This window comes from Homo sapiens, chromosome 4, assembly GCF_000001405.40.
Source record: "Homo sapiens chromosome 4, GRCh38.p14 Primary Assembly".
In the NCBI taxonomy this organism is placed as follows: domain Eukaryota; kingdom Metazoa; phylum Chordata; class Mammalia; order Primates; family Hominidae; genus Homo; species Homo sapiens.
Window position 1 is genome coordinate 128,477,986 of NC_000004.12, and position 23,968 is coordinate 128,501,953.

Below are 23,968 nucleotides of genomic sequence, written 5' to 3' on the forward strand. Positions count from 1 at the left end.
ATAATATTTAGGGAGCACAACTGTAATGTTTTGGTATGTGTATACATTATAGATTAAATCAAGCTAATTAACATATCTATCATCTCACATACTTTTTTTTGGTGGTATGGGCATTTAAAATCTATTCTCTTAGCAATTTTCAAGAATACAATACATTATTATTAGCTATAGTGGTCATGCTGCACAATAGACCTCCAGAACTTATTCCTTCTGTATAACTGATACTTTGTACCCTTTGACTGGCAGCTCCATTTCCCCTCTCTCCACCCCCTGCCTCTGGTAACCACCATTCTGCTCTTCTATTTCTATGAGTTTGATTTTTTTAGATTCCACACATACATGACATCATGCAGCATTTGTCTTTCTGTGCCTGGCTTATTTCATCTAGCATTGTGTCCTCTGGTTTCATCCATGTTGCTGCAAATGACAGGATTTCCTTCTTTTTAAAGGCTGAATAGTATTTCGTTGTGTCTATGTACCACATTTTCTTTATCTGTTCATCTATTGATGGACATTTAGGTTGATTCCATAACTTGGTTATTGTGAATAGTGCCGTGATGAACATGGGAGTGCAGGTATCTCTTTGACATACTGATTTCAATCCCTTTGGATATATACCCAGAAGTTGGATTGCTGGATCATATGGCAGTTCTACTTTTAGTTTTTTGAGGAATCTCTATACTGTGTATAATTGTTATATTTTTAAGCCATAGAGTTTTGGGGGTGTGTTATGCAGCAATAGACAGTCGGGACGCTTGATTTCCAGGATAGCATGCTTCTGGTTTTCTTCCTGTTTCACTGGCACTCTTTGTTGGCCTCCTTTGATTGTTCTTCTTCATCCCTCTGTCTTTGTTTTTCTCCTGTCATTATGCAAAATTTTAGCCATACACATATTAGACAGCAAAGTATAATGAAACTCCTTGTGCCCATTACCCAGCTTCAGTATTTATCTACTCAGAGCCAACCTTATTTCATCTACGCTCCTACCTACTTCCCTCCACCCACTCCATATTACTTTTAAACAAATTCCTCAGACACTCTCTTCTCTGTTATATTCCCTTGGTGATCTCACCTGGACTCATAACTAAATATCGTTCACATGCAAAGACTCCTAAGTTTATTAATATTACCTGTGCTGTAGCATTGTGGCTCAAAGCATGAATTCTGGTACTTATATTCCTGCATTCAAATCATGGCTCTTCCACAAACTACTCTTGTGACCTCAGGTAAGTTCCTTAACCTCTATGTGGTTCAGTTTCCCACCCTGTGAAATAAGAGATGATAATATTTCCTGCTATGTCTTGGGGTTGTTGTGAGGATTAAATAAGTTACATATGTAGAATGCTTAGCACAGTGCCTGCCATATGCAATTATTGCATTTTTTTAATTGTATCTTCAGGCCAGACCTGCCTGAACTGCAGGCGTATATATCCAATTGCTTACTTGGCATTCTCACTTAGATGCCAAATAGACATCTCAAGCTTATTATTCTAAAACCAAACTCCTGATCTCCCCCGCAAACTCCACGTAGCTCTTCTCTGTCTCCCATTTCAGCTAATGGCAGTGCATTCCATCTTTCCTTTCCTTAGCCCCAAATTCCCTGATGTTATCCTTGACTTCTCTCTTTCTTTCATATCCTACATCAAATCCTGTTGGATCTGCTTTCCAAATATATTATAACAGAGCCATTCACCATTATTACCCTTGTAGAAACCTCCATCACCTCTTGCCTCTAATACAGCTTCCTAACTGGGCCACCTACTTCTGCCCTTCACTCTTCCTCTCCACCCCCTCCTCCAATAATTGATTCTCAAACTCCTGGCCTCAAGTGATCCTCCCCCTTGGCCTCCCAAAGTGCTGGAATTACAGGAATGAGCCACCACACCTGGCCAATAATCTACTCTCAGTACAACAGAGTGGTCTTTTTAAACACTTAAGTCAGATTATGTCACTGCTCTGTTCAAAAAGTTCCAATGCTGTCTCATGATACAAAGTGAACACCAAAGTCCTTGCAATCCTCTCTGATCCCATTACTGTCTACAGTGGCTCATTTTGTTCCAGCCTCACTGGCGTCCTTTCTGTTTCTGTAACATTATGGTAGGGCTCCCACCACATATCTTCAATTCAGCCATACCTCTTAAAATTCTCTGTGCTCAGATCTTCATGGCCAACTCCCTTCTTTGTCTTGGCTTCAGTGTTATCTTCTCATCTAGTGAACATTCTGATCAATAAGTCTGAGTCCTGGCCAGCCATCCCCCTCCTCCCATCAACACTCTCAATCCCTCTTACTCTGCTCTACGTTTTCCTTTTTCCATGATGTTTATCACTTTCTAACATATTTCATGATGTACTCATTTACTTTGTACATCATTTATTCTTTGTCTCCCTCTACTAAAACGTAAGCTTCATGAGGGCATCTTTATCTGTTTTGTTTATTGCTGAATCTCAAACACCTAGGACAGTGCCTGGCACAAAGTAGACAATAGATAGACAGATGGATAAACCTGTTTTAGAAAGATCACTCAAAAAACAATATACAGGATAGTTTGAAGGGGAGAGAGAATGGAAGCTTTTAAGATCTGTGCAATAATCCTTGCAAGCAATAATTATGAGAGCTTGAGCTAGAAAAGAAGCAAGAAGAGAGATGAGTGGGTATTTTGTTGGTAGAACCAATAGAAATGGATGACATTCTGATTATGCGGTGGGAGGAAGAGAGAGAGAGAAGTCAGTGTGACTTTCAGGTTTCTGGCTTGGGGGTGTCACATGAAACAAGTTTTAGGAAAAGTCACATGTGAAAGTATCATGTTGGAAGACTGTGGAAGAAAATATAGACCTGGAATTAGAAATGGATCTTTACAATTAAGCACTTAATCGCATACTTTAAAAAATCCTATTTCAATTAATGTATGTGAATAGTCTTTTCTATTTAGATTGCCACCTCATTTTTTTGTTTCTTCTACTCACAATGCTGAGCTAATAGCAGGACTTTGACAAAGAGTTGTGATTGACTGATAGGCTAAAACATATATTTTTTAAAACTTAGTTAACTACTTCCTCCCCAATATTTGCTAGAATTACAGATTTGACACACTGCTAGATGATTTACAAATTCATTTTCCCCTTCTTCCAGAGTAATAGAATTTTATCTGGACACATGATTACTCAGCTAAAAACTATATTTTCCAGGTACGCTTTTAATTGGATGAGGCCATGTCACTGAGGTCAGGCCAAGCAATGATAGTGGAAACAATATGTGCCATTTCCACACCTTAGCCTAAAAAACAGGACTGTGCTCCCATTTGATCTGGTCTGAAGTGAAACAGACCCTTTTGAGACCCAGCTTTGACATGAAGATTAAGTAAAATGCCTTGGGGCATAGTAGAGAAATGAGTTGGAAGGAACCTGGATCCTTGAATGACCTGGTGGAGCAGAGCTGCCCTGCCAAGATAGGCTTGCCCGACTATTATTTAGGAGTGGAAGAAATATGTATCTTATTTAAACCTCTGTATTTTGGGAGTTCTTTGTTTTAAAAACTTAACCTTCATTCCGACTCACAATAGATAAATGCCATCGATGTCTTTTTTTCTTGGTGTCCTCTGTTATTCAAACAAAAGATGAATACATTGAACTGAGTTTTTAAAACATTAATAAAATACTCCTAATTCTGCTCTTTGTGTTGCCCAATAGTTCTTTTCTAAATGTGATGAGGAATTACGGAATCATAAAATGGAAGCAGAGTTAAACTCAGACATGTGGGCACTCAAGGTAGGTAAATATTCTGGTATTCATGACAGGTTAGTCATTTGACACATCAACAAACTGATAATCTTAACTTTCTCCCCATAGTATTCAGTATTTTTCTTACAGTTTTAACTCATTCCTCTCTTTAATTTTTAAAAACATTCTTATTTTATAGATTGTTGCACATTATTTTACTATCTCAACTCTTTGGGCCTGCTAATTCTCCCCATTTTTAAGTCTGCTGACTCATTCTCTCTCAAGGTAGATTATTTCTGCATGTGCTTTGTGAGCTCATCTTCAGCAGGGTTGTTTTCTATAAAGTCTGTGTGCCCTAGAGAATGGTTTGGATTTGCTTCTGCTATGTGCCAGTCTGGAACCAGTTTTTGTATTAATTTCTAGCATCTTTTGACATAAATTTGGACTCCCAACCTGGACAAAGCACAGGCCTGGATTTTTGATTTTTCACCCAAAATCTCTAGGAAGAGACACACTCCTTTGCTTATGTGTCACTTCCCTGGTCTGATGCACAGATGTTTTAATCCCTTTCATTGTGGGTGTGTAACTTTGACATATCAGCTTTATTTAGGAGTTTCAGTTCTGGCTCTCTATTTCACATGAGCCCAAGGCCATGTCTCTTGACACTCATCATACTAAAAACCTACCACTTAACAGATGAGGCTCTGTAGTTATTCCAGTCTCCTCCCTGGGCCACCGTTACCACTTCAGTTTTATGTTTCCTTTGCATTTCTGATACCTGGGATAGCCTGTCTTTCAATTTCAACCATTTTGAAAACATTGCTGGTTATATTATGTGGCTCATTTTTAGTCTATAACATGAAGGGCATTGTGCGTTTTGCTTAGTTAGCTACTTTGGGGGCATGAGATAAGTTTAAGTATTTTTCAATATTCATTTAGCAGATCTCAATAAAGCTGGAAAAAAATGAGAAAACCTCAAAAAAAAAAAGGCTGAGGTCTTTTTTTTGCCGTTTTGTGCACTGTTTTATCCCCAGTACCTCAAACAGAACATATATTAATAATAATCACTCAAAACATATGTATTGACTGACTGACTGACTGACTGACTGAATGAATGAATGAATGAACAAACGCTGGGTGACAGTGTTCAGCCTGTCCTGTGTAGTCCAGCTCTGGATCCAAATATACAGACCACACTCTACCAAAGAAGAGCCCTGTTGCCATCCCGACCTTACCTCCTTAGAACACAGTTGAGGACTCATCAGCCGTAACGTTATCACACCCTTTGGCGGTCTCTTTCTCTTAACCCAAGCAGATTATTAAAGCATCCCTTTCCACCACATACACTCCCTGAGAGGAGGCCTGATAAATGTAATTTTCTGCACTCTCAAGTTATATTTCCAGTGGAACTTGAGCTTCCAATCATGCTATAGTACTCACAAAAGGCTGGAGTCCTGGGCCACTGCCCAGCTGGTCTGTTGCTTGTTCACCTCTGAATGGTGGAAGCCATTGTCTTTCCATGCCTTTGTCCATGCACAGTTCCAGGAAAAGAGGATTAATTTGTAGTCAGCAGGTTTAGTGCTTTCTGTATAACTATAAGAGCTGAATCAAAAATCTCCCCACCAGGCAATTAGGAGCTTTCTGCGATGAGAAAGGGATCAGACTGATCCTTAAGACTTTATGCAACCCCAGAGTATTGCAGCCACCTGCATGCCGAAGGTGTCAAGAGTGTTCTCACTGCTGCCTATAGGAGGGTCTTCAGCCTCCAGTGATCCAAAGTACCAGGTAAAATATTTAAGCCAACAGAAAGAACGTGTTTTATTGTGTTTTACATGTCATAAAGCATTCTCTATCATGAGATATCACTCTGTATCGGTAAGACAGGCTTGAATTTCTGTCTTGGTTCTGCCACTGACTAGCTTTATTCCTTAGGCTAACCTGTTGGAATCTCAGTTTTCTCACTGTAAAGTGAGGATAATTATTTTATGAGGATAGTTATGAAAATTAAATAACATAATGGTTGCAAAACACTTAGCACAGCACTAAGACACAAAATAGACAATAAGTGTTAGTTACCTTTATTCCTGTCCCCTTTCCTATCCAGACAAAGGCTCAGTATAAGGACAAATATTGTTTAGAACTTCTTTTTAAACCTACGAGCCTTACCTTTCAAGAACCGCAGATTTGTTCCTGAAAGTTACCTGTGTAGTGAGGGTTTTATAAATCAAATTTTACTTTCAATGTACAGAGGAGCTCTTTGACAGAGTCCCTTTTCCTGAGAAGTCATTGTGGGTTTGGCATCCTGTTCAGCCTGGCTGGGGCCAGGGGAGCTGAACTGTAATGACAAGCAGATGTACTATTGTTCTATGAAAATAGTGTCTGGCTCCAGATGGGGTTTAGGAAAAAGTAGTGATGATTTCTGTTGAGGAGGATGGGAATTCTGACCCACTGAGCTAGCTGGTGAAGAAGGAGAGTAAGACATGTGGGTAAATGCAGGTTAAGAAAAAGGACCTCTAGATCAACTGAAAGCCTACTAGAAGAACATTAAAAGCAGATAAGAAAACAAGGAAGCAAACAAAACTCGACAAGAGAAAGAAGAGACCATTAGGAAACATCCAGGATAATTGCTGTCATCATTAAAGCTCCCATTTGTTAATCTGTTACATATGAGGCCCAACACTGGATGATTTACCAACATTTAACCTATCCTCTCACTTTTCAATGAATTGGATATTGTCAACCCCATTATTAATGGAAAAATGGGAGCTCTAGAATATTGAAGTCACTTGGCTATTAAGTGATGGAGCCAGGACTGGGATTCAGAATCCAACACTCATATTCTTTCCATGAGGTGTAGATTCCATTGAGAAGAAGGTGTGTGCCTAACACCGTGAGAAAGTCTTGGCCCTGGTAATGCTGGTGAGGCCAGTGGCTGAGAAAAGAATAGCTCTTACCTAAGGCTGAGAACAGAAGACCCAAGGTTGTGGAAAACTGACAGTGGTGCCCTTCCTCACACAGAGTGCAAAGATTGGTGGCTTACCTGCTTCAGACTCTTGGACGTGCTCTTAAATGCAGATCCTGGCAGTCAGAGAGGAAAGGCTGAGAAAAGTTCACTCTTTGCCAAAGTAATAAATCCTTCTCTTTGATCCCTCAAAAGTTGATAGACGAAAACTCCTCAAAGCACCTAGGGGTAGGAACCCCACTTGAGAGTTGTGGGTTCTCCATTTCATCACAGGGATTTGCTGTGAAGGAATCCTGTGGTAAACTCCATAAGAAAATGTAAATAACATCCCCTCTCCAATTTATCTTTTCTGTAAATCTGGCTTTTCATATATTAGGTTTCTTTACAGTAAGTTGAAACCTTAAGAATAGATTTCAAAATATTTAGGAAATGGCCTATTTATTTTGAATGATATTCAACACCATTAAACTAGAGTGTTGGGAGAATATTTGGACATTCCATAATGATTTGACTTGTAACTTAATATAACAGAACTAAAAACAAAAACCACATGATCATCTCAATAGATGCAGAAAAGGCTTTTGATACAATTCAACATCCCTTCATGTTAAAAACCCTTGACAAACAAGACATCACAGAAACATACCTCAAAATAATAAGAGCCGTCTATGACAAACCCACAGCCAACATCACACTGAATGGGCAAAAGCTGGAAGTATTCCTCTTGAGAACCAGAACAAGATAAGAATGTGTCCTATTCAACATAGTACTGGAAGTCCTAGCCAGAGCAATCAGATAAGAGAAAGAAAAGGCATCTAAATAGGAAGAGAGGAAATTAAACTCCTTTTGTGAATATAACATGATTTGATACCTAGAAAATCCCATAGTCTCTGCCCAAAGGTTCCTAGACATATAAACAACTTTAGCAAAGTTTCAGGATACAAAATCAATGCACAAAAATCAGCTGCATTTCTATACACCAACAATGTCCAAGGTGAGAACCAAGTCAGGAACACAATCTCATTCACCGTAGCCACAAAAAGAATAAAATACCTAGGAATACAGCTAACCAGAGAGGTAAAAGATCTCTACGAGAATTATAAAACACTGGTGAAAGAAATCAAGAGAAGACAAACAAATGGAAAAACATTTCATGCTCATGGATAGGAAGGATCAATATTGTTAAATGGCCACACTGCCCAAAGCAATTTACAGATTTGGTGCTATTTCTATCAAACTACCAATAACATTTTTTATAGAATTAAAAAAAAACTATTCTAAAATTCATGTGGAACCAAAAGGAGCCTGAACAACCAAAGCATTTCTAAGCAAAACAAACAGACGAAAACAAAAAACCCAAACAACAACAACAAAAACCAGAGGCACACTACCCAACTTCAGACTGTACTACAAGGCTACAGTACCCAAAACAGCATGGTACTGGTACATAGACACATAGACCAACAGGTTAAAGAATCTAGAAATAAAACCATACACCTACAACTAATTGATATTCAACAAAGTCAATGAAAACAACCAATGGGGAAAGGACTTTCTATTCAATATATGATGCTGGGATAACTGGCTAGCCACATACAGAAGATTGAAACTGGATCCCTCCCTTTTACCATATGCAAAAATTGAGCCAAGATGGATTAAAGACTTAAATGTAAAACCTAAAACTATAAAAACCCTAGAAGAAAACCTAGGAAATACCATTCTGGACATAGGCCCTGGCAAAGATTTCATGACAAAGACTCCAAAAGCAGTTGCAACAACAACAACAAAAATAGATAAATGGGACCTAATTAAACTAAAGAGCTTCTGCACAGCAAAAGAAATTATCAACAGAGTAAACAGACAACCTACAGAATGAGAGAAAATACTTGCAAACTATGCGCCCAACAAAGGTCTACTATCCAGAATCTATAGGGAACTTAAATAAATTAACAAGCAAAAACCAAACAACCCCAATAAAAAATGGGCAAAGGAAATGAATAGACACTTTTCAAAGGAAGACATACACGTGGTCAATAAGCCTATGAAAAAATGCTCAACATCACTAATCATTAGAGAAATGCAAATCACAACCACAGTGAGACACCATCTCACACCAGCCAGAATGGCTATTATTAAAAAGCAAAGAAGGCTGGGCATAGTGGCTCATGCCTGTAATCCCAGCACTTTGGGAGGCTGAGGCAGGTGGATCACGAAGTCAGGAGATCGAGACCATCCTGGCTAACACAGTGAAACCGCATCTCTACTAAAAATACAAAAAATTAGCCGGGCGTGGTGGCGGGCACCTGTAATCCCAGCTACTCGGGAGGCTGAGGCAGGAGAATTCCGTGAACCCAGGAGGCGGAGCTTGCAGTGAGCTGAGATTGTGCCATTGCACTCCAGCCAGGGTGACTGAGCAAGACTCCATCTCAGAAAAAAAAAAAAAAAAAAAAAAAAAGCAAAGAAATAACAGATGCTGGTGAGGTTGTGGAGAAAAGGGAATGCTTATACACTGCTCTTGGGAATGTAAATTAGTTCAGCTACTGTGGAAAGCAGTTCGGAGATATCTCAAAGAACTTACAACAGAACTACCATTTGACCCAGCAATCCCATTACTGGGTATATATCCAAAGGAATATAAATTGTTTTCCCATAAAGACACCTGCACATCGCAACACTATTCACAACAGCAAAGACGTGGAATCATTCTAAATGCCCATCAATGGCAGACTGGATAAAGAAAATGCGTTACATATACATTAAGGAATACTATGCAGCCATAAAAACGAATGAAATCCTGTTCTTTGTAGCAACATGGGTGGAGTTGGAGGCCATTATCATAAATGAATTAATGCAGGAATAGAAAAATAAATACTGAATGTTCTAACTTATAAGTGGGAGCTAAATGATGAATACACATGGACACAAGAAGTAATAAACACTGGAGCCTATTTGAGGGTGGAGTGCAGGAGTGAGTGAGGACTGAAAAACTACATATTGGGTACTGTGCTCGTTGCCTGGGTAATGAAATAATCTGTACACCAAACCCCCATGACACGCAATTTACCTATGTAACAAACCTGCACATGTACCCCCTGAACCTAAAATAAAAGTTGGAAAGAAAAAAAAAATGAACCTCTGAGACAATATTATAAAAATTAGCACATTCAAACCACGGAAATTGTCAAAGTGTAGCTAAAATATTAAACCTTTTAGATATGTTGTCTAGATATAATTATCCCATTTTATAGCCAGTGTTATGGACATCCAAAGACAATGTCAATTTTGCTAATAAACTGCATCAAATAAGTGCATGGGAAAAAATAAAAAGTTGATACATTAAAAAAATGTTTTTGATACATAACTTTTATTTTGAAAACTTGAAATAAATTGCCATTGTGAATTTGGCAGCTTTTACCCTGGCATGCCTACAAAGAATGTGATATACATTTAATCACGAAGAATGCCACCCAGTGATAACAGTGGTACTGGGGTTATGATTATGTTTTAATTTGTTTTGTGCAGAAAGGCATGACCATTTGCAAAGCTGTCCTATGAAACGTATCATGTACTAGTCACCTCATGTTATCAGCATGCTCCTGGAGGAGTAGGCAATGGATTTTTTCACCAGTTCGCACTGTGCAATCTCTTCCTCATGTGTGTGAACTTTGTGGGATGTCAAGTACCCCATTAAAATTGAATGAAGTATTTGAGGGGCTCCCACAAACCCTCTAGTGATCTTCTTTCAACAAACAGCATTTTATTGTGTAAATTAGAAAAACAACACAGAGTCTGGCTTAAAGAGGATGGAAAACTGGCATTACACCAAGAAAGAACCTGAACTTCAGTCTTTGACCTCAGGAGACATCCAAGTATTAAAACAGAATTTTTTTTTTTTATTTACATGGAAACCCTGATGGACCAGGAAATTCTTTATAATGTAGAGTCTGGTGCTAAGTCTTACTTTCAGGTGAACCCAAATGAAGATTATTGAACTCACTGTTGAATCTCATCCCCTGTCTTTTTAACAGCAGTAAGACCCCTCTTGGTCAGCCACAATATGGGGAAACTCCTCAGCAGCTGCTGTTATCCCTAATATTATTGATATCACTTCTACTTGCTCTTGCTATGTTTGTTTCTTTTCAGCAGAGCTTTCACAGTACTCTAAAAAGTAGAGGCTCTTAACATTAAAAGTTTCCTTAGCCTTTTCAATAACCCTTTCCTGGTTGTCTATGCTGGTGGCAGCCTCAACCTGAACCTGAGTGAATTTGTTTTTCTGGCCTGAGCTTTGCTGAGCCTCTTAAGGGGTAGACCGTCTATGTGTGTTTCTTTTATGTGAGATAAAACGCACAATTTATTAAATATCTTCTGATTCTTAGACAGGATCTCAAGGGTGGAGCTACTCCAGGGCTCATTGATTTTCATGGCTTTTTGGCTGTTTGAAAAAGAGCCTCCTTTGACATCATGTGGGTTTTTGCTATTTCTATTTAAGGGTATATCTTACATGTCAGATATATTATTATTGCTGTTTTAGTTCTAGACAGCAAGTGATATGAGCAAACAACAAAGCTTCCATGCTGTGAAATTATGCATTTATTAAAGCTATCAGTTGACACTTAGCTTTGAATTATTTATATTTTTCTATAAACTGTCGACAATCATAACGGGACCAGAACCATAGGTTCATATGGGAAGGTGATTTACTCATCTTCCTTTCTTGCCCTTAGGAGGAGTTGCAGACAGAGTATTATCTTTTTTTTTTTTTTTTTGAGACAAAGTCTTGCTCTGTTGCCCAGGCTGGAGTGCAGTGGCGCAATCTCTGCTCACTGCAACCTCTACCTCTTGGGACCATGCCTGGCTAATTTTTGTATTTTCAGTTGAGACGAGGTTTCACCATATTGGCCAGGCTGGTCTTAAACTCCTGACCTCAGGTGATCCATCTGACTTGGCCTCCCAAAGTGCTGGGATTACAGGTGTGAGCCACCAGGCCTGGCCCAGAGCATTATCTTTATCATGACTTTTTCCTTTATATGTATTGACTATTTGCAGGTGTATCACAACTACAGGAGACAGAAAGGGAAGCGGTATACCTCTTTCTGCATGCCTTGTGTTTAAAGCGTGCCTAGATTCTGATAAAGGCTTGCCTGACAGAAAAGGCAGAATGCCAGGGGTCTATCCCAAGATACTGAGTCATTCCTGTGTCCTTAAATGCCAAAGAGGTAGGATCAAAACACCAGATCTAAAACTTGACAATATAAGTTGTTAGACTTAATCTCCACCAGACTCAACTTGTATCTCAGCTTCTCACTAATCTCCTATTTCTCATTCACTCACTGGTACCTTCAGCTTATTCTCTGTTTTCTCCTTTGTTTGTCAGGTTTTGGCATGATATCTCAGACACTTTTTTTCTCCTTGCTTCATTCAGCCAGCCCCAGGTGATTTGCCTTCCCAGACCACTGGCTTTCTCCTGAAAAGAGAAGACACAATTGACTTCTGGTCTTTCTTGCTGTCCATACTACATAGATTGTTATTCCAAAGCTTGGTCCAGGCTGAGTTCTTGGACACTGCTTTAAATGAGTGGCCCTTGACCAGAAGGGAGATCTAGAAACAAACACAATTTTCCTGGGGAAGCTGAGGCATTGTGTTTGAGGCCCACGTATCTTTGTACTCCTTCCGTCCTGTGATCCAGAAGTCTATTTATGCCAGTCTTGCTTCAACCTCTCTCACAATTGCAGGGGAAAAGTCTACTGAAGGGAGAGAACATTTCAGCTAGGGGATATAACTTAAGGTGAGAAATAAAAGTGAGACGAAGAAAACATGTTTGGTGAACTGGTTTGACCAGAACTCATGTTTCAAGTTGGAAATGTTCAAATAGGAGGAAGATAACTAAGGTAAAAATATTAAAGACTACTATTAAAAATTTGGAATTCAATAGTTAAACACCACAATTAGAGATATTTTTATGACATTACTGATATTAGGATTGTCATTTACTGAGAAAAGTGTGTAAAAATCTCCCACTATGATTGATAATAGAATGTTTATTTTCCTTGAAGTTATTTCAATTATTACTTTATTTATTTTCGAGACTGTGTTATTCATTGCATACAAGTTGAGGATTGTGATATCTTCCTCGTGAATTGACTTTTGTCATCATATAATGACTTTCTTACCTGGAACAATGCATTTTGCCTTTAGGATTACTTTGTATGATATTAATACTTTGTCACCAGCTTTCTTTTGTTTAATGTTTGCCCCATAGTAAAATATTATCTTGCCTTTTGGAACATCTTGGAATTTTTCCTCCTGCCTTTCTAACCTATCTTCACTGTGTCCTTCTATTTCTTCTTTTTTTCCTCCTACTCCTGATTACCCCCAAAACCCAGGCCTTGAACATAGGGGTATATCTGTGTGTGTACGTAGATGCACGTGCCAACTTTTTTATCTCAAGGCTTTAACTGTTACTCTATCATTGAAACTGCATTTCACACCTTCTCTTTAGTCTCAAATTCCCAACTGCCACTCATCATCTTCCCTTCCCTTGCCTATATCTCTACTCTATTCTCTTTTTCTCTTGGGCTTGCAGCCTTGGAGTCAACCTTTTTTCCGCTTTATGCTCTATATTAAGCTGTCATAAATGCCATGACCTTTGCTGAAATGCCTAACAGATTCTCAGCAATAAGCTCACAGGGAAAGGGCAAAGCCAGGAGTGCAGGACGAGGGGAGGATCAGTGGCAGCCATCCTGTAGATTATCTACTGAAATTCTTTCCATTCCTTTGAATTTCTGCTCCTTTGAAGCCCTGGATTATAATAATTATCTTGGAAAGTTTTTCAGTCCGAGATCCAAAAATTCTTAATTGGGACCTCTTCAGTGAAAATGACATTCAGTGAAAATCCCTGGCAACATTTTCCTAGATGAGAAAAAGAATTAGGAATCAGATGAAGACGTGAGAAAGCCATGACTTCACAATGTGTAAAGCATGTGCTGATAGCTTGTGGAAGAGTGTCTTAGGAGGTCCCTGTCCCAATGAGGATAACTTCTTAATCAGAATCTTGTTTCCAAGTTCTCCCTCAACTCCAGGATAAACTTTAAAAAGGAAAACAAAATCCTTGCTAGAAAATTTTCCATCATTTTTCTCTTTTCTGTATGAGTAGCATGGATGAAAGAGTTCTGTGACTGAGTTGAGGTTTGCATCTAACTATTGAGCCATGGCAAAAAATATTAAGCATCACTATTTGTTGTCATATAAGGAATTTAGTGGGGTTTGAGGTTTTAAATGTTATTGTTTTTCTCTATAGTAATATCCCTTCAATCCCCTTGGTTATCTTTCTAGAGCAATATAAAATGACCTGACTTCTGTGAGAAGTCTTTAGCTTTTGGAAATCCTCACCTAGGTTTCTTTCACCTAGAGAATTGGTTTCTGAGAAAATCCTCCTTCCTTTTACTGAACAGTGAACTGGGAGCCTTTAAATGGAGTGGAGGTGGAGGAAGATGGAAGTGAGGCAGGTAGAATTTGTCATTCTGTCCCCCTGGGAGAATGAGGAAATTAGCATCCAGTTCTCTAGAACCTAGAGTTTCAGGGATCTATTTGAGTGGGAAAAAGCATTCCTTGTTTTTTTGTGACCTACTTAAACATTCTGTGAAAGTTGTAATCATTTGAGGTTTTCTAAGAAAAGAAAAAAAAAAGTCTAAATATAATCCTAAAAGGGAGCTAACCTAACAACAAAGAACACCCGGTTGCAGAGATTATTTCTCTGGAAATTGGCAAAAAGAGACAAAAATCTTCCCTGGCGATTACTGGCTATACCTGCTGCTACACCTGATTTCATGCTTTTTATTCCTGGCAGCACTATTGGCCTTCTCCAATGTGGGCTTCTCCAAACTTCACACCCAGGGGCACACAAATCCTATTTCTCCCATCTGGAAAGCTCTGCTCACTTCTTCCCAAGTCCGCTTCCCACCTGCCTTTGAAATGCAGCTAAAGACCACTTCACAGAGATTCCCTCAATGCTAGCTCTTCCGCTATGCCCTTCATTCTTTCTCTTAAACCCCTAGAACTCTTAGAACCTGTTAACAGTGTATGACATCCTAAGTGCTCTAATTCAGGGACAGCAGAGAATGCAGTCCAGGCTCCTGGTCCAGTAGTGGGGATGGATTGTGCTGGTCCACCCGCATGCTGCCATTCAGTCTGCTTTATCGTGAGCACTTCCCATTTGCCAGCAGGGGCTAATGGTGTAGGCCAACCATGGAAGAACGTGAAGCTCATCTCAGTTTAGCTGACTGGATGCAGCCTGCAGCAAGCATGTGTTGTTGTTTCATACATTCCTGTCTTTGCTCTGTGTGCACATTTGGGTTTCATCTTTTCCTCCTAGCGGCACACGTTCCCATAGACTTTGTGCTTGCATGTATTAAGGAACATTGCGTTGTCAAAAGGTAATAATAAGAGCAGCTAAAAATTATTGAGAACACGTGATGTTGTAGGCACTCTTTTAAACATTTTTATATGCATTTAATCCTTGCAACAATACTGTAAGGTAGTTATTATCCCATTTTATGGATGAAGAAAATAAAGTACTGAGAGGTTATGTTACTTTCCCAGGGCCACATGGCTAGTAAATTCTAAAGCCCAAGCTATTGACCTTGAGCCTATGCTCACTCCAGGCTTTGGAGTTGTAGGAGATGTGCAAGGCTTAATGAACACTGAGTGAACTTATGAGGCAGTTCAGTCATCTGACATCCTCATTAAATCTGATTTGAAGAAATGACAGAGAGAAAGTTGATAGAGCTTAGAAATTTGGTTCTAGGTGAGACCTTAAAAGTCATGTCACCAAGGAATAAGAGACCCTCAAGAGGTTAGATAAGTCCTCTGTGCATCATTTCCTCCTGACCTGTATCTCAACGTCAAAGCTGTCAACAAAAATGAACAGGGAGCAGCACTTAGTTTGTATGATGTATTCATAATGTTTGGGGTGCCAAACAGAAGTCTTATGACATGGTATTTTTGCCCGGCTAGGTTTTTCTATACTAGGGCATGGCCATGGTTTTAATGCTTTATTTATTAAAGTTATTAGAAGATAAATATGTGCAATCATTGAAACTTTTCTTATTTTCAAATAAGAAAGGGAAACTTAAAAAATTTAGATTTAGCAACTAACTTTTATTTAGAACTGCCATATGATCTAACATAAAGTTTTCTTACAATCTGAATTTGAAACATTCAGGATTATTTTACTAAGATCTGAAAAGGTAATTTGACATACTATCTATAAAAGTGTGAATTACCCTGGGGATTAGGAGGTGAGGTTCTGTAGTAATTAGGTATGCCAAAAATAATTTTTTACCCTCCTCCCCCTCTTCCTTCTTTCTTTTCTGCATTTACATGTATTGCTCTTGGTCTCTCATGTCATTCTTTCAGGATTTTCTAATGTAATGAATTTCTCTTTCTCTACCCTAGAGAGTACCATTATTTCCATTCTTTCATGGAACTGTAAGTGTGTGCAATTTGTTGACCTCGTGGTATTTCAAAGAACTGTAAAATCTCAATTATCAGGAATGCCCAGGGAAAGGGGCTTTTAATGGAATGGATTTTTCTCTTAAACTGAAGGTTAATCAGGACTCTTCTCTCCCCCCCGTTTCAAATTTATTGGTTGCAATTTTTTTTCCCTAATCTGTGAGTGTACTTTCTGGGCTTTGCTGAAATGGGAGGTTATCTGATTGACTAGCAATCATAAGCCCTATGTTTAAGTCCACATTCTTCCATTTGCCAGCTCTATGGTTTGAGGAAGTTATGACACTGAGCCATTTGAAAAATGGAGATAGCAACACTTGTCCTACCTATGTCACCTGGGCTGTTTAGTGTATCAAATTATATAAAGACAATGGACTTGCTTTGTACAAGTCTTAAGTTTTATTTTAATGAATTATGACAACTACCAAGTTCTGAGTGCCTAGGGGCCAGGTGCTCCATACACATTATTGTTATTTCCACAATAAACCTACTATATATATAGATGTATATAGATGAGAAAAGTAAGGCTTGGGAGATAAGTGACTTGCCCAAGATTATGTAAATAACAGTGGAACTAAATTTCTTTACAGCAAATTGATACCTTGATTAATCAAAAGTCTTTATTCTAAGTACCATTTCTTGTGGATAAAGAGAGTATAGAAGATTGCCTAGAAGCATACTGACCTTAGGATGCATTGTTTTGCTTAGGGTTCTTTTAGTTATAAGGAACAGAGATGTTAGGTTTCAGAGGGATTTCAGAGAAACCCAATGACAGAAATTGAATTATAGTTGGGTGTTAAGGAAGCTGTCATGAATCAAGCCTACTCTTGCCTCTCCTCTTTCTTCTCCTCTCCTTCCTTCTTTTCGCTCTCTCTTTGTCCACACAGGCAAAATCTTCCTTACATATGTGGCCTTCACTCTCTTTTGTCTATTGACTGGCTTCCTCATAACTGTAGCTTGCATATGGTTCATCATATGGTTTGGGTCTGTGTCCCCACCCAAATCTCATGTTCAATTGTAATCCCCCATGTTGGAGGAGGAGCCTGGTGGGACGTTCCTTGGATCATGGGGATGGTCCTTCATGAATGGTTTAGCACCATTCTCTTGGTGCTGTTCTTGTGACAGTGAGTGAGTTATCGTGAGATCTCGTTGTTTTAAAGTATGTGGCACCTCCCCTGTCTCTCTCTTCCTCCTGCTCCAGCCATGTGAAGTGCCTTGCTTCCCTTTTGCCTTCTGCCATGATTGGAAGTTCCTTGAGACCTCCCCAGAAGCTCCTGTATAGCCTGCAGAACCGTGAGCCAATTAAACCTCCTTTCTTTATAAATTACCCAGTCTCAGGTATTTCTCTATAGCAATGTGAGAATGGACTAATACAGACCGTAGTAGGGACTCTACACCTCCATATAGCATAGTATCTCTTGATCTGTCCATTTAGCTTTTGCCCTGTTGCTTACTGGAAATTCTCTAGGTCTTGTGATTCAGATTCCTGAAGGAGGATTCTTACTGGCCCAGCTCATCTATTCTAGTCAGATCCCAGGTCACTGACTGCTACAAGCTCATGGATTGGCTGCTTTTGCATCAGGTGTCCTGCTTTGGTGCTGCCCACTTAGCAAAGCTAAGGGAAGACTAGGAAATAAAAGCAATGTGACAGCTACATCTATCATCACTATTAAAGAAGGCTATATATCACGATATATTTGTTTTTGTAAAAATCCTTAATATTTTATTGTTATCTTTTAGTTCTTATTCTCTTCTTTTCAACGTAGTCCCTCGTCTTTCAAAATATTTCTCAGTAATTGGGTTCCTGTTGACTCAAATTTTATGACACAGAACCTTGTTTATAACCTCCTAACTTACCATTACTAATATCAGTTCTGTAGTCATATATACCACAATTTTATATGTTTTTGAAGAAGGTAGTAGGAAAATATGTCATAGTTTAAGTTTTATACTAAGCATAAGTCATGTCATAGTAGAAGTCTTTTTTCTATTAATAGAAGATGTCATGTCTCAAGGTTATTGTTGGAATATACCGTAATTAATTTTTTTAATCCTTAAAATAGGAGAATTGAGGGTTTCCGAGTAGTGTGAATACATGAAAAGTGAAAAAAATGGGTCATCTTCTAGGAAGGCCTGCAGAACTTAAAACTGAGAACAGGCCTTAGACTTGCTTTCTTTCCTCTCCTGGCACTTCCTGGGTTTTGTTTTCCTCCCTGCTGGTAGGTTTTGATGGGAAGGCATTATATTTCTGTTTATCTGAATATCTATTTTACTCACAAACTTTTTTCTTTTATCATAGCTGATATGAAGTGAAAACATGTATCACTTGGCTCAGCCTGAACTGCTGTGTGATAGGATGTCCCTGTATCAACCATGAACCAGAAGTGGAACAGGGACCTAATTAATATTTATGCTGACCTTGGTGGCTGTTGTAAAATAAACTACCATACATCTAAAACCTCACCACACTGGGTTGGATAGCTAAAACTTCTATACTATTCATGGCTTAACTTCTGAGATTTATATGCCTCTTGAAGAGAAAGTACTCATCACTGCTGAAAGTTTAACTTTCTATTTTTGTTATGGCCTCCATTACATTTCCAAATATTCCTTTACTTAATTTTATCCATAAACCTGAAGCCTTCACTTTCTTAGTGAGGTACTAGATTCTTTGTATATAAATTTGACTGTATTGGAAAGCCTGGGTCCATGTGTTTTTAGTCCTTAACTCTCCAGTCCTTGTAGATTTCCTTGTATATAAACACTTTAACTGAGTTATAGAACCTCTTCCTCTGTGAACTGGTGTCAGGCTCTGGTGGTAGGTCCTCTTCCTACTCTACATGCTGCCTACCCTCTTGTATGGAAAAAGATTAACTGTTTTCCTCACACTCAGCGCAAAACACTTCTGGTCACCAAAACGTGTGGGTTTCTCCCACACAAAGCAATTCTCTGACACCAGCTGGATATCCTACAGTTCAGTTCAATTCTGTGCTAACTGAAGTTGGCACAGACTCCACGTGTTAAGGGCTCAGCCCCTCAAGACTGTCCCCGGCTTCAGATGTCAGTCACTAGTGGTAGTTTCCCATGTTACCCATGACTTGTGTCAGACTTGGCTGTAAACTGGAGGGTCCCAAAGCCCCCTTCTCTGGTTTGATCACTTGTTAGAACAGCTCACAGAATGAGGAAGGTGCTTTACTTATTATTAGCCATTGATTATAAGATGATATAAGTCAGGAACATTCAGAAGGAAGAGATGCACAGGTGAAGGTATGTGGGAAGGGGTGTGAACTTCTGTGCCCTCTCTGGGACCACCACTCTCCAGGTACCTCCTCCTGTTTGGCAACCCAGTTATGGAGGCTTCATTACATAAGCATGATTGATTAAATCAGGCCACTAGTGATTTTTTAAAAAATTTAATTAACACCTAATAATTGTACATCTTTATGGGGTGCAATGTGATATTCCAATTTATGTATACATGTGTAATAATCAAATCAGGGTAATTAGCATATCCATCACTTCCAACATTTACAATTTGTTTGTGTTGGGAACATTCAAAACCTCTCTTCTAGCTACTTGAAAATATATAATAAATTAACGTTAACTATAGTCATCCTACAGTGCTAATAGAACGCTAAAACTTTTTCCTCCCATTTAGCTGTGATTCTGTATCTGTTAACCAAACTCTCCCTCTTCCCTACTTCCCCCTACACTTCCCAGCCTCTAGTAACTACTATTCTACTGTCTATTTATATAGGATCAACTTTTTCAGCTCTCACAAATGAGTAAGAACATGTGGTATTTTTCTTTCTGTGCCTGGCTTGTTTCACTTAACATAACGTCTTCCCAGCTCATCCATGTTGCTGTGAATGATAAGATTTTGTTCTTTTTTATGGCCGATTAGTATTTCATTGTGTACATATACCACATTTTCTTTATCCATTCATCTGTTGATGGACACTAAGGCTGATTCTATATTTTGTCTAGTGTGAATAGTGCTGCAATAAACATGGGAGTGCAGATATCTCTTCAACATACTGATTTCCTTTCCTTTGGATATATACCCACTAGTGGGATTACTGGATCATATGGTAGTTCTATTTTTAGTTTTTTTTGAAAAATCTCCATACTGCTTCCCATAATGGCTGTACTAATTTACATTTCAACCAACAGGGTATAAGAATTCCCTTTTCTCCACATCTTCACCAGCATTTGTTATTTTTTTGTCTTTTTATAATAACCATTCTAACTGAGGTGAGATGGTATCTCATTGTAGTTTTGATTTGAATTTCCCTGATGGTTAGCAACGTTGAGCATTTTTCACACACTTGTTGGTCATTTGTATGTCTTCCTTTAAGAAATGTCTATTCAGATCATTTGCCCATTTTAAAATTGGGTTATATGGTTTTTTTGCTGTTTGCTGTTTGAGTTCTTTGTGTATTCTGGATCTTAATCCCTTGTCAGATAAATGGTTTGGAATTATCTTCTCCTGTTCTACAGGTTATCTCTTCACTCTGTTGATTGTTTTCTTTGCTGTGCAGAAGCTTCATAGTTTGATATAATCCCATTTGTCTATTTTTGCTTTTGTTGCCTGTGCTTTTGAGGCCTTATCCATAAAATCTTTGCCCAGAACAGTGTCCTAAAGTGGTTCCCCTATGTTTTCGTTGAGTAGTTTCATAGTTTTTATCCTTACTTTTACATCTTTAATAAATTTTGGGTTGATTTTATATATGATGAGAGATAGGGGTCTAGTTTTATTCTTCTGAGTATGAATATCCAATTTTCCCAGCACCATTTACTGAAAAGGGTGTTTTTTCTTCAGTGGATGTTTTCAGTGCCTTTGTTGAAAATCAGTTGGCTATAAATACATGAATTTATTTCTGGTGCCATTTGTCTATGTGTCTTTTTATGCCAGTACCCTGTTGTTTGGTTACTATGGCTTTGTAGTGTATTTTGAAGTCGGGTAGTGTGATACTTCCACCTTCATTCTTTTTCCTCGGGATTACTTTCACTAGTTGAGGTCTTTTGTAGTTCCATACACATTTTAGGATTTTTTTTTCCTACTTCAGTGAAGAATGTTAAAGGTATTTTGATAGGAATTGCATTGAATAAATAGATTGCTTTAAGTAGTATGATCATTTTAACAATATTAGTTTTTCCAATCCGTAATCTTGGGATGTCTTTCCATTTTTTTGTGTCTTCTTCAATTTCTTTCTTAAGTGTTTTATAGTTTTATAGTTTTCAACGCAGAGATATTTCACCTTCTTGGTTAAATTTGTTCATTTTTTTTATAGTTATTATAAATGGGATTGCCTTCTTGTATTAGTTTGTTTTCACACGGCTATAAATAGCTACCTGAGACTGGGTAATTTATAAACAAAAGAAGTTTAACTGACTCACAGTTCCACATGGCTAGGGAGACCTCAGGAATACAATCATGGCAGAAGGTGAAGGAGAAGCAAGGCACATCTTACATGGTGGCAGGAGAGAGTGTGTAGGGGAAACTGCCACTTTTAAACCATTGGATCTCATGAGAACTCCCTCACTATCATGAAAATAGCATGGGGGAAACCGCCCCCATGATCCAATCACCCCCCAACCAGGTCCCTCCTTCAACATGTGGGGATTACAATTCAAGATGAAATTTGGGAGAGGACACAGAGCCAAACCATATCACTTCTTGATTTCTTTTTCAGCTAGTTAATTGCAGTATAGAAACACTATTGATTTTGGTATGTTGATTTTATAACTTGCAATTTCACTGAATTTGTTTCTTTTCTAAGAGTTTTTTGATGGAGTCTTTCGATGAAGGTTTTTCCATATATAAGAATATGTCCTCAGCAAACAGGGAAAATTTTACTTCCATCTTTCCAATTTGGATGCCCTTTATTTTGTTCTCTTGCCTAATTGTGCTCTGGCTAGGACTTTAAGTATTATGTTGAGTAAGAGTGGTGAAAGTGGGCTTTGCGTCTTATTCCAGTTCTTAGAAGAACTCCCCCCAACCGCCATTCAATATGATGTTAGCTGTGGGTTTGTCATATATGGCCTCTATTGTGTTGAGGTATATTATTTCTGTACATAATTTATTGAGAGTTCTTGTCATGAAAAGATTTTGAATTGTAGCACATGCTTTTTCTGTGAATACTGAGAGGATTATATTAGTTTTTATTCTTCATTCTGTTGATGTGATGTGTGATGTATATTGATTTGCATATTTGAACCATCCTTGCATCCTTGAGATAAACCCCACTTGATCATGGTGTATAATTCTTTTGATGTGCTATTGAATTTCTTTTGCTAGTATTTTGCTGTGGATTTTTGCATCTATGTTCATCAAATATATTGGTCTATAGTTTTCTTTCTTTGTTGTGTTCTTTTCTGGTTTTGGTGTGAGAATAATTCTGGCCTCGTAGATTAGGTTTGGAAGAATTCCACTCCCCACCTCCATTTTTTGGAATAGTTTGAGATGAATTGGTGTTAGTTCTTATTTAAAAGTTTGGGGAGTAACAACAGCATAATGTTAGAGGTGCCTAGTATTCATTCCCCTTACAAGAAAAAACCAAGGCAATGAATACACAGCTAAGATTTGACTGGAGTGTGGGAAGGAGCACCTTGGAAGGCAGCAAAGAGGTGGAGATGCACCTGTGGTAAATGGAAGTCCAGGAGGGCAGCACGCAGGCACTCAGCCTCTGAAGCTCTGTCTGCCCCACCCAGATTAGATATGTCTGAAGTCAGGAGACACTTCCTGTTCTGGCAAAAATCTGAGTAGAAGACCCTTGCCAGCTTCCATTGCCACTGCCAATACCTACAGTCCTTATAACAAGAGAATTCCACAATCCTTTCAAGCCATGAGCCCAATTGGGAGAACTGTGGGGATTATACTAAATTAGCAGTACAAGGTGTGCACTCTCCACCCCCTGCCCACTCCCTATGAGCCAGGCTGCTGCAGCATGGTGCCATCTTGAGACCAGAGTCACCTCTGGTGTGCACCCTGCTCTGGGAGCCACTAGCCACTGTGCCTCACAAGCACTGGGACTCCATCTTCATCCCACCAAGCCCATAGGTCATTGAACCCCACAACCTCATCTGTGCAGAGCCTGGGCCCAAGATCAGCTATGACTCCTGCACTACAGGGAAACCAACTCCTGCTGCCTTACCTCCAGCTGAAGGAACAGTCTGATTGTCTCATCCAGGGTGAACCCCCCCTTAAGCTGGCGAAAACACTACATGCCATCCTTCAAACAGGAGAAACTTTCAAGCTTCCGTGTAGCTGACATATCCCTGAGTCAGTGGAATGACTATAGGCCATACTCAGAACCTGAGAAACAATGTAGCAGTGCCACTGCCCCAAGCAGACACACCCCTTGTCTGCCCAATGGCCCTAATGATAGGGACAGGAGATAGCGAAATACTGGGTAGAAGAGGGTGGTTCCCTGGCAAAGGCCCCACCCTCAAGCCTGGAAACCCATGGCCCTAAATGGGAACAGGCATTCCTATTTTTGCACCCAAAAGTTCCCTTTTGGCCCACCACACTCTGCATCCTGAACCCATATAAACCCCAAATCCCAGGCTCCACGAGCAGATGAACAGAAGAGCAGAAGAGCAGCAGAGAAGGAGAGAAGAGAAGGAGCATCTGAACGTTGAGAGGAGTTCAGCTGGGAATGATTGGAGATGAGATCGGCGCTAGATGGCCAAACTCCAGGGGAAGATCATCTTCCCACTCCATCCCCTTTCCAGCTCCCCATCCATCCTGTTGAGAGCCACCTCCACCAATCAATAAAA

At 39.1% G+C, this 23,968-nt stretch overlaps 1 long non-coding RNA gene across 1 annotated transcript in view; it reads left to right on the top strand.

Annotated features, from left to right (window-relative positions):
* LINC02615 (long intergenic non-protein coding RNA 2615) overlaps positions 1–23,968 on the top strand; it is a 91,383-nt gene that overhangs the window by 49,970 nt on the left and 17,445 nt on the right. Inside the window, exons 5-6 of the long non-coding RNA NR_125882.1 lie at positions 3,688–3,765; positions 5,344–5,502. This is a non-coding gene — a long non-coding RNA (long intergenic non-protein coding RNA 2615). The remainder of the gene's footprint in view (positions 1–3,687; positions 3,766–5,343; positions 5,503–23,968) is intronic.